Raw genomic sequence first — 11772 nt, forward strand, 5'->3', positions numbered from 1 at the left:
GGTGAGGCTTCTCTGCCTTTATAATTATGTGAGCCAATCTTTCATAATAAATCCATTTCTTTTTATCTCTGTATATCCTATTGGTTCTGTTTCTCTGGAGAACTCCCACTAATCTAAATGGTAATTGCAAGGATGAGGAAAATTGATTTGGAAGTGTCCCGAAGTTGGAGGCTATGTAAGGTAATGGGGTGCCCTTTGTGCAGAACATATCCTTATGAAGAGCAGAAATTTTAAGACTGAAAAGGCCTTATCCCACCAAAGCAGAAGCATGTATATATTTATTTATGTTAAATACATGCTTTTGGATGGTTAGAATGATCTGCAGTCATGCTGCCTCCTTCTGAGAGGCCTCCAAGTGCTTTTCATGCCCACAGACTCTTTCTGAGAGGTTCTTTGTGCGCCTGGTAGCTCTATTCTTTTCCCTGAGATCTCCTCTATTCATCCTCCCAACACTGGCCACTGCTAATTTCCACCAGACATGGATATTGAATCCAATAAGGCTTTCATCTATAAGGTTTCCAAGAGCCAAATCATGATCTTTAGCTCTTGGTAAATGGCAGCTTCATCAAAACCATCATTGGGAGAGTTTGAATTCTGTACCTGCAGAGAGAGACTTGTTCAGTATCTAAGCAGGAAGAGGAAGCAACATTCCTTCTTTCATGTCAAATTAAATGGAAGCAATTAGAAAATGGGTCAAAATCTAAGGTCATTCAGAGTCAGATCCCAAAGGCTCAGATCTGTAGGAGAGTAGAGGTAGGACTCTTGGGACAACATCCCAAGAGCCAGGTTAGTAGCACTAAGATGGGGAGAAGCTCAGGATGGGAAGCACTGTCTTTGGCTTCTCTTTAGGCCTTCTTCTTGGCATAGGTAGGTAAAAACAGGCTTAGTCCATAGATGGCAGCTGGCTCCCAGGCTGAGGCAGGATTCTACCCATGACAGTGACTTTGGCAAAAGATAGGCTGCTGGATCCTCTGGGTTGTCTGCCTGGCTCCAAGGGCTATGCGCTGTCTCCTGGACCACATTGTGGAAACATATTTCAGAAAGGAACTGTAATAATAGATGCTGAAGTTTCACAGACAACTGGTCCCTTACTCAATAGGTAAGATCAGTTCTTTTGATTTTCTAAATATTATTGGACTTATTAGGTTATGGAATAGTGCTAACAATTCTGGAATACTGGTGATGATTCTCAAGTTTAATCCAGATACTAGATGGCAGCAATATCATTTACCGAGTGTTTCTTATGTGTCAGGCATGGCTTTAAGTTCTTTATATATATTAACTTTTGAAATCCTGATATTGATCCTGTGAAGTTGGCATTGTTTTTTTATCCCCATTGTACAGGTTTAGAAACTGAGATATGAAGGGATTGTGCAACTGCTCATGGTCACACAGCTAGCAAGTGTCTGAGGTGGATAAGCACCCAGGCAAGTCTATTTTTAGAGCCTGGGCTCAAACTCTCAGCTCTGTTGCCTGCCTGACTGTAGCATCTTAGTATCCATGCCCATTTGGGCCCTCAGGTACTAGGGGTGCTAGTTCCATCTCATGGGGTGCCTAGGCGTACTCATTTTGGCTTTCAAGTTCAGAGGACAGAACCTCTCTTCACCAATCCATTAGGTATTCATGGGGTGTCCTCAATGGGTTGCTGAAGCTTAGCTTGTGTGTGGTTCTCATTTCCACAATAATGGGTTAAGGTACTCTTTGAAGGTAAAGGGAAGTTCGTTTACTCGATGCAGACAGTGTAGCAAGCTGGCTAAGACTGTTCAACAACAGAGCTTCTAGACTTGAGCAGAGGCCACAGCAGCAGTTCTTGCCTGGGTCACTTGCCAGAACCTCCCAAAGCAACACTCCACTTTTGTAACTCTCTTAGTTTGGTGGCCCATGGCAATTAGGTTCCTTTCTCCATCTGTCTTCCTTCCATTCCTTCCCAAGCTCCCCACTTTCTACTCTTCCCTGGTTTTATTTCCCTATGCAAGAAACTTATTCTTTTTCTTCTCTCTCATAACATTGACCTTGATATCTGATCTGGAAGGTCTGCAATCTCTCGTTTAAAATTGCTTCCAAAAACAAATGTAGAAAAACAGAAAACTCACCTTCCTCTCCCTTTAGGTAGAAAGGCTTCCTCTTTAGAAACACAGTATCTGATTCTTATTCCTCACATCTGAGAGCAAAGATTCAAATTCCATTGAGGGGAAGGTTGTCCTCCTTCTTAGCCAAAACAATAAAGTCATGGAATACAATTGAGATTTCATATTAAAAATAGATTAAATATTTGTGTCTTGTTACAACTGGTTGAGAGCTAGAAGGAATCTTAAAATCCCTTATGGCTCTTTGGAACAGTTCAAACAGTTTCATTCTATAATACTTTAAGAAAAAGATGAAACAATCCTGGGCAGTAGAAAAAAGTTTGGAGTCAGGTGGTTTGGATTTCAAATCTTGATTCTACCACTTGATATTTAAAGGTCTTGAATAAGTAACTTAAAAGTTTTTTGAGCCTTGCCTCAGGGAGCTAATTATGATCAAGTGGTGGTAAGTTTTGAGGGAGTTGGGGAGGACAGCACGTATTCCTTGCCTTGTAGATTCTTCCCAGTGAAAGAGGCTTTAGTTTCACTAGCAGATGGCCTCATTCTGCCATCAGCATCTCTCCAGGGAAGATGTGGCTTATTGATGGTAGATTAGGGAGAGAAACTAAGCATGCTTAGCTCAAGCCTTTATTCTCTCTTCTTTCTCTTGGACCCACTCCTGTCCTGTCTATACTTTATGCTATGGTATGAGATTGTACAGATAAGGATCCTGGACTGATCACTGGTCCAGTTGGGGTAACCTGCCTAATTCCAGGACTCAACACACCTGGCCATGTTCTCTCCCATAGACTTCATCAATGATGAAGGTGATATTTCCATCTCTTTCTGGATAAACTGTTTTGTTTTTTAATTGGTTCTGATCTTTGGCTAGGAAAAGGGAAACTATTTATGGAGTCTCTTAAATTTTAAAGGAGAATCCGTATGTTTAGAGGTGATCAGCTCTTAAAAGTGCTTTACAAATTTAGTTCTCTTTCTCTCTTTGGTTCTCTCTCCCTTTCAGTTGACTGTTCTTCTCTTTAACAGGTCTTACTATCAGAGAGTCTAAACCAATCTTTTCTACCACAGCCTGTTTCTTTTTGTTCGCTTTTCAGAGAAAATAAATTGATGGTGGAAGAAGAACAGCTGGTTGCAATTTCTTTGGGTTTTTTAATCAGAAAATTCCCCAGTTTATTTCATTTGGCTGCTTTTTAGAGTATTATTGTTTAGATTGAACATTTAAATAGCTTTCTTGAAACTTCCACCAAAGATTTGGAACCCAAGGGGAATAAATGTATAAACTAGAAATGTTAGTGAAGATGAAAGGTAAAGCTTAAAAATAACTAAATTAAAGATCTTATAAAATATTTAGACTCAGCCTTTCTTTATATAGACTTAGAAAACTTTATATATTTGTCCTTGGGGACTACTGTACTGAAGATATATGCCTGCATTCCAATTCATTACTCTGAATGGGGAAAGAAAGTGAACGACAATTATTACTGTATCGCTGGGGCCATTGTTTCTTGAGTTATTCCAATGCCATAGTTGAAAGTTTCTTTATTACACTGCTTTGTTTCAAATTTCTGTCTTAGTTTTAATGTTTCTCACCTGTATAGTTTAATTCATGCACAGTCTGACTGTCTCTGTTTAGGTCAAGTGAAATAAAGAAGAGATGGGAAAAGCCCTATGATTGACGATAAAACAGATTTCTCATCTGGATTTATCGAGGTTATGCAATTGCTCACATTTATGCTGTAACTGCTAGTATTCAGTTGGCTTCCCACAGATACAAACTCAGTAAGAAAAGAGCAGAAAAAATAACATCACACAGCGACACCAGGCATTAAAATTCCTCTCTTCTAGTGTTCTCTCCTTCTACCTATTTTTAGCCCCTCCAATCCAGTCTCTATATAGTTTGTAAAGTGATTTTTCTGAGGGTCCAGTTGTAGTTTGTTAGCTTTGTACAAAAACCTCTGCAAGAACTGACTGGCTGACATCACCATATCTTCCCACAAACTTTAGACTGCAACAATGTCAAAGGATTTGTGGTTCCCTATGTTAGTTGTAAGGAAGACAAACATCCTTGGTTTCTTTAGTTTGTAGGATTTTATGGTAAGAAGATGTGGGGAGGTATGTGAAACCATGGCAGTCCCTTAGACAGCCATGTGGGGAGCAGGAACTGTGTCATTCTAGATCAGCCCCATTCATTCAATGGCCACCCAAAATTGATCTCCTCGGACAAGGGCAACTGTGGCCTCTCTTCTAGGGTCTGCAGTCTGTTCTCAGCTTCTTGTTTTTGTTTTTATTTCTAGCTACTTCTTCCTGCTGTCTTCATGATTCCTTTTCCATGGTCTCTGTCTTCCATTCAGGAGAAGGAGTACTGTAAGAGTAGTAACAGGTCATCCTCTCCTGCGTGACTTGGGGAAGGGCCTTCTCAAAAATATCTCTGATTTGGTCACTTGATAATGGGACTTAATGGAGAAGACTGAGTTTCCTACCGAGGAACTCAGGACCAGCTACTGGGCTGTTGTGGGTTCTGATGGTCAGCTTTGCTAGGTTCTGTGTGAAGACAGCCCCTGTGACAAGAGCTATTCTTTCCTTTCTTCCCAGTGAGTTGGAGGAACCAGAGACCACATCAATCCTTACCCAGACCTCTAAACTTTCAAAAAGAAAGAGGACTAGGGGGTCAAGCTGAGATCTCCCCATCCCTGGGGGGAGTAGAGTTTCCATGCCAAGGTCAGGGGTCAATGGGTGAGGGCCCATTGCACTTCTTGGACCTTTCAGATACCGGTGCACAGGTGACTGTGATCTCCACAACCCTGGGTACTAGAGTGTGGGTGAAGCAGACGATGCTGTCTGGTTTTAGGTTCTGTTTAGGTTTTAGATGCTAAGGCTAGCATCACTGAGACTCTTGCTTGGGTACTTTCAGGCTCCTGCAAACCTCCATTGTTATGGCGTCCACTACCAAAAGTATTAATGGTATCGATGTATTGTCTATGTGCATTCATGACTAAGTGTCTCCTCAAACTCTGATTGGAATTTCTGCAATTAAGATTGTGTTAATAGGGTATGTAGAAGACCATGAGCTACTTGACTACAGGTGCCTAGTACCATTGTCTTTCCCAAACGACATTGACAGCTTGGGGAAACAAAAGAAAGAACTGCCCTCACACTGCCAAGCTTAAGGAAGCCAAAATCCCCTGGAAACTATTTCTCCACTCAGTAGTTCCAGCTGGCCTGCGTGTAAGGGAAGGCACTGGGTAGCTGAAAAATCACCATGGAGGTGGCTCAACACAGTGCTGGCTTTGGCACTGGCAGAACCTAATGTGACTATCACAGATGCTGTTGCCCAATCTGAGAGAACTTGGTGTACAGCAATTGACATCTCAAATGGCTTCTTCAGCATAACTGATGAATTGATCCTAATCATCCATCTAGGTGATCAGGATCAATTTGCCTTTATTTGGAAGTGGGAGCAACATGCCTCTAATGTCCATTCACAAAGGTAACTAACCTCCTTGTCTACCTGCTATCGGTGGGTATGCCATGCCCTAGTAAAAGTCCTGCTTCCCAGTGGAGCACTGGCCTTTCACTCTGTTGATCTCTTGGTTAGCCCAGACAAGGGAACTGCCTGGTAAAAAGTGGATATCCTGTTGACCCATGTGCAGTAACAGAGCTAGGCCATTAACACAGACAATGTAGAAGGACTTAGTACCCAAGTGAAATTGCTGGGCCTAATCTGGAAAGGGGAAGAATGTCTCATTCCAGAGATGATTGCCAAGTTTTGGCCTTGTCTGCCCCAACAGATTTTAAAAAAAGCCTAGTGATTGGAGGACCTATGTGGCTACTGGCATTCTTCCAGTTTATTGAAGGTATGTGAGAATCTTGATAGTACCTTTCTATTGAATTACCAGACAGGCTGCTATCTTTGAGTGAGGCCATGACCCATAGGATGTTCTGGAAGTCCTCCAATGAGACATTCAGGCTGCCCTCCCCCGGGCCCCACATATCCAAATTGCCCTTTGAGTTACAGGTTTTAGCAATCTCTGTTTGCCGACTAGAATCTGTGGCAGAAGGGCACCACCATAGGCTGGTAATTCTCACTGGACTTTTAGACCCATGAGCTCCCGGAATCACCTAAAAGCTATACACCCTTTGAGAGACAATTATTGGCTTCTTATTGGGCCTTAGTGGATTTTGAATGCATGGCTCATGGCTTTGAAATACTCTCATTATCAGAAATCCCAATCAAGTTGAGGAGCCAAGCAGAAGCCTCAAGTGTAAGATAGGGGTGGCTCAGGAATTCTCTTTAGTGAAATGAAAATGACTCATCCAGGAGTGAGAAAAACTCTGGATGAGATTTCTCAATTCTATGAAAAGGTCTCAGGAATGTCCCTCTGTCTGCCAAAAGCTGCTACTTCCACTGACCCAATGGGGGAACATGAATGGCCCTAGTTGTATGATGGCTTCTTCTGGTTAACTTTATTTATTTATTTGACACATTTTAATCATACATATTTATGGGGTACAATTTGATATTTTGATACATATCTATGTTACATAATGATCAAATCAGTGTAGTTAGTATATCCATAACTTCATGCATTTACCATTTTTTTTGTGGTGAGAATTTTCAAAGCCTCTCTTATAGCTATTTTATAGTATGCAATATTTTACTATTAACAATAGTCACCCTATTGTGCAAAAGAACACCAGAATTTATTCCTTATATCTAATTGGTAACTTTGTACCCGTTGACCAACCTCTCCCCATCATCCCCTCTTCCCCTCCCAAGCAGTCTCTGGTAACCGCTATTCTACTCTCTGCTTCTATAACTTTTTTCTTTTTTAGATTCCACATAAAAATGAGATCATGCAGTATTTTTCTTTTCCTTTCTGGCTCATTTCACTTAACGTGGTGTACTACAGATTCATCCATGCTGTCACAAATGATGTTATTCTTTTTCATGGCTGAATAGAATTCCCTTGTGTGTATTTATCACACTTTATTTATCTATTCATCTGTTGTTGGACACTTAGGTTAATTTAATATCCTGGCTGCTGTAAATAGTGTGGCAATAAACATGGGAGTGCAGATATCTCTTCAAAACACTGATTTTATTTTCTTTTGGTATATACACAGGAGGGTAATTGCTGAATCATATGATAGTTTTATTTTTAATTTTTTGAGGAATCTCCATACTCTTTTTTTTAATAATGGCAGTACTAGTTTATAATCCTATCAACAGTATGTGTTTCCTTTTCTCCACATCCTTGCTAACACTTGTTTTCTTTTGTCTTTTTCATAATGGCCATTATAATGAAGTAATATCTCACTGTACTTTTGATTTGCATTTTCCTGATGATTAGTAATGAGTATTTTTCAATATACCTGTTGGCCACGTGTATGTCTTCTTTTGGGAAATGTCTATTAAGGTCTTTCACCCTTTTTTTAAGTTGGTTGCTTATTTTTTTGCTGTTAAGTTTCCTGTAAAGTTTGGATATTTACCTCTTGTCAGATGTGTAGTTTGCAAGTATTTTCTCCCATTTTGTAGGTTGTCTCTTTACATGCAGAAGCTTTTTACATTAATGTAATTCTATTTGTCTGTTTTTACTTTTGTTGCCTGTGCTTTTGAGGTCTTACTTTAAAAATCTTTGCCCAGCCTGATGTTGTGAAGAGTTCCCCAACATTTTCTTTTAGTAGTTTCATAGTTTTAAGTTTTACATTTAAGTATTTGGTTTATTTTGAGTTGATTTTTGTATATGTTGAGAGGTAGGGATCTAGTCGCATTCTTCTGCATGTACATATCTAATTTTCCCAGCATCATTTACTACAGAGGCTGCCTTTCCCCCAATGTGTGTTTTTGGTACCTTTCTCAAAAAATCAATTGGCTGGATAAGATTGTCTTAAAAAGTATTACTTTCCCTCTCCCTCTCCCTCTCCCTCTCCCTCTCCCTCTCCCTCTCCCCACGGTCTCCCTCTCCCCACGGTCTCCCTCTCCCCACGGTCTCCGTCTCCCTCTCCCTCTCCCCACGGTCTCCCTCTCCCCCTCCCCACGGTCTCCCTCTCCCCACGGTCTCCCTCTCCCTCTCTTTCCACGGTCTCCCCCTGATGCCGAGCCGAAGCTGGACTGTACTGCTGCCATCTCGGCTCACTGCAACCTCCCTGCCTGATTCTCCTGCCTCAGCCTGCCGAGTGCCTGCGATTGCAGGCGTGCGCCGCCACGCCTGACTGGTTTTCGTATTTTTTTGGTGGAGACGGGGTTTCGCTGTGTTGGCCGGGCTGGTCTCCAGCCCCTAACCGCGAGTGATCCGCCAGCCTCGGCCTCCGGAGGTGCCGGGATTGCAGACGGTGTCTGGTTCACTCAGTGCTCAATGGTGCCCAGGCTGGAGTGCAGTGGTGTGATCTTGGCTCGCTACAACCTCCACCTCCCAGCCGCCTGCCTTGGCCTCCCAAAGTGCCCAGAGTGCAGCCTCTGCCCGGCCGCCACCCCGTCTGGGAAGTGAGGAGCATCTCTGCCTGGCCGCCCATTGTCTGGGATGTGAGGAGCCCCTCTGCCTGGCTGCCCAGTCTGCAAAGTGAGGAGCATCTCTGCCCGGCCGCCATCCCATCTAGGAAGTGAGGAGCTTCTCTGCCCGGCCGCCCATCGTCTGAGATGTGGGGAGCGCCTTTGCCCCGCCGCCCCGTCTGGGATGTGAGGAGCGCCTCTGCCCGGCCACGACCCCATCTGGGAGGTGAGGAGCGTCTCTGCCCAGCCACCCCATCTGAGAAGGGAGGAGACCCTCCGCCCGGCAACCACCCCGTCTGAGAAGTGAGGAGCCCCTCCGCCCGGCAGCTGCCCCGTCTGGGAGGGAGGTGGGGGGGTCAGCCCCCCCGCCAGGCCAGCCACCCGTCCGGGAGGGAGGTGGGGGGGTCAGCCCCCCACCCGGCCAGCCGCCCGATCCGGGAGGGAGGTGGGGGGGTAGCCCTCCGCCCGGCCAGCTGCCCCGTCCGGGAGGTGAGGGGCGCCTCTGCCCAGCCGCCCCTACTGGGAAGTGAGGAGCCCCTCTGCCCGGCCAGCCGCTCCGTCCGGGAGGGAGGTGGGGGGGTCAGCCCCCCACCCGGCCAGCCGCCCCGTCCGGGAGGGAGGTGGGGGGTCAGCCCCCCGCCCGGCCAGCCGCCCCGTCCGGGAGGGAGGTGGGGGGGGTCAGCCCCCCGCCCGGCCAGCCGCCTCATCCTGGAGGTGAGGGGCGCCTCTGCCCGGCCGCCCCTACTGGGAAGTGAGGAGCCCCTCTGCCCGGCCACCACCCCGTCTGGGAGGTGTGCCCAATAGCTCATTGAGAACGGGCCAGGATGACAATGGCGGCTTTGTGGAATAGAAAGCGGGGAAAGGTGGGGAAAAGATTGAGAAATCAGATGGTTGCCGTGTCTGCGTGGAAAGAAGTAGACATGGGAGACTTTTCATTTTGTTCTGTACTAAGAAAAATTCTTCTGCCTTGGGATCCTGTTGATCTGTGACCTTACCCCCCAACCCTGTGCTCTCTGAAACATGTGCTGTGTCCACTCAGGGTTAAATGGATTAAGGGCAGTGCAAGATGTGCTTTGTTAAACAGATGCTTGAAGGCAGCATGCTCGTTAAGAGTCATCACCACTCCCTAATCTCAAGTACCCAGGGACACAAACACTGTGGAAGGCCTCAGGGTCCTCTGCCTAGGAAAACCAGAGACCTTTGTGCAATTGTTTATCTGCTGACCTTCCCTCCACTATTGTCCTATGACCCTGCCAAATCCCCCTCTGTGAGAAACACCCAAGAATGATCAATAAAAATAAAAATGAAAATTAAAAAAAAAAATCAATTGGCTGTAAGGTGCATGAATTTATTTCTGGGCTCTATTCTATTCCATCAGCCTATGTGTCTGTTTTTATGCCAGTATCAAGCTGTTTTGGTTACTACTGCTTTGTAGTATACTTTGAAGTCAGGTAGTGAAATGCCTCTAGTTTGTTCTTTTTGTTTAGGATTGCTTTATATATTTAGGCCCTTTTGGAGTCTCATATGAATTTTAGGATTTTTTTTCTATTTCTGCAAAATATGCCTTTGGTATTTTGATAGAAATTGCATTAAAACTGTAGATCGCTTTGGGTGGTATGGGTATTTTAACAATAGTAATTCTTCCAATCCATGAGCATGAGATACCTTTTCATTTATATGTGTCAGTTTCTTTCATCAAAGTTTTATAGTTTTCAGTGTAGAGATTTTTTTTAACCTAGTTGGTTACATTTATTTCTAGGTATATTATTACCTTTTATAACTATTGTAATTGAAATTTTTTTATTGATTTTTTCCAGATAGTTCACTATTAGCATATCGAAATGCTACTGATTTTTTGTACGTTGACTTTGTATCCTGCAACTTTACTGAATTTGTTTGTTAGTTGTAACAGTATTTTCATGGGGTCTTTAGGGTTTTCTATATAATGTGATCATGTTTTCTGCAAAAAAGGACAATTTGGCTTTCTATTTTCCAGTTTGGATGCCTATCATTTCTCTCTCTTACCTAGCTGCTCTGGCTAGAACTTCCAATACTATGTTGAATAGAAATGGTAAAAGTGGGCATCTTTGGCTTGTTCCTGATCTTAGAGGGAAAGTTTTCAGCTTTTACCTATTCAGTATGATGTTAGCTGTGGATTTGTCATATATGGCCTTTATTGTTTTGAGGTACATACCTCTACACCTAATTCATTTAGAGTTTTTATTATGAAGGGATGTTAAAGATTGTTAAATGCATTTTCTGTGTTTATTAAACTGATCGCATGATTTTTGTCTTTCTGTTAACATGGTGTATCACATTTATTGATTTGTGTATGTTAAATTATACTTGCATCCCTGGGATGAATTCCATTTGATAATAGTGAATGATATTTTTAATGTGCTATTGGATCCAGTGTGCTGCTTGTATCTTGCTAAGAATTTTTGCATCTATATTCATCTAGGATATTGGCCTGTAGTTTTCTTTTTTTGTAGTGTCCTTGTATGATTTTGGAATCAGTGTAATGCTGGCTTCATAAAATGAGTTCAGAAGTATTCCTCTCTCTTTAATTTTCTAAAATAGTTTGAGGAGAATTAGCATTATTTCTTCTTTAAATGTTTGGTAGAATTCAACAATCAAGCCATTGAGTCTTGGGCTTTCCTTTAATGGAAGACTTCTTATTACTGATTTAATTTCCTTACTTGTTATTGGTCTGCTTAGATTTTCTATTACTTCATAATTCAATCTTGGTAGATTGTATGTATCCAATAATTTGTCATTTCTTCTATGTTATCAATTCATTGGCATAGCTGATCAGAGTAGTCCATTATGACCCTTTGTATTTCTGTGATGTCAGTTGTAATGTCTTTTTTCATTTCTGATTTTATTTATTTGAGTCTTTTTTTTTCCTTAGGCTAGCTAAATGTTTGTAGATTTTACCTTTTCACAAAATAATCTCTTCATTTTGTTAATCTTTTGAATTGCTTTTTCAGTCTCTGTGGTTTGTTTCTGCTCTGATCTTTATTATTTCTTTCCTTTTACCAAATTTTGGGTCAGTTTGTTCTTGTTTTTCTAGTTCCTTGAGATGCATCATTAGGTTATCCCATCTCTACTAAAAATACAAAAAATTAGCCCAGCATAGTGATGTATACCTGTAATCCCAGCTACTCGGGAGGCTGAAGCAGGAGAATCATTTGAACCCGG

General features: G+C 42.7%; 3 annotated features.

Moving 5' to 3' along the window:
• Window positions 1320-1821: an enhancer, noted in NCBI's record as "NANOG hESC enhancer chr13:37846978-37847479 (GRCh37/hg19 assembly coordinates)". NCBI's record gives its function as "activates a minimal SCP1, AML or CMV promoter by ChIP-STARR-seq in primed H9 embryonic stem cells {active_cell/tissue: H9 hESC(primed)}" and the evidence as "EXISTENCE:reporter gene assay evidence [ECO:0000049][PMID:30033119]".
• Window positions 8299-8858: an enhancer, noted in NCBI's record as "H3K27ac hESC enhancer chr13:37853957-37854516 (GRCh37/hg19 assembly coordinates)". NCBI's record gives its function as "activates a minimal SCP1, AML or CMV promoter by ChIP-STARR-seq in primed H9 embryonic stem cells {active_cell/tissue: H9 hESC(primed)}" and the evidence as "EXISTENCE:reporter gene assay evidence [ECO:0000049][PMID:30033119]".
• Window positions 8859-9418: an enhancer, noted in NCBI's record as "NANOG-H3K27ac hESC enhancer chr13:37854517-37855076 (GRCh37/hg19 assembly coordinates)". NCBI's record gives its function as "activates a minimal SCP1, AML or CMV promoter by ChIP-STARR-seq in primed H9 embryonic stem cells {active_cell/tissue: H9 hESC(primed)}" and the evidence as "EXISTENCE:reporter gene assay evidence [ECO:0000049][PMID:30033119]".

This window comes from Homo sapiens, chromosome 13 (genome assembly GCF_000001405.40).
Source record: "Homo sapiens chromosome 13, GRCh38.p14 Primary Assembly".
Taxonomy (NCBI): domain Eukaryota; kingdom Metazoa; phylum Chordata; class Mammalia; order Primates; family Hominidae; genus Homo; species Homo sapiens.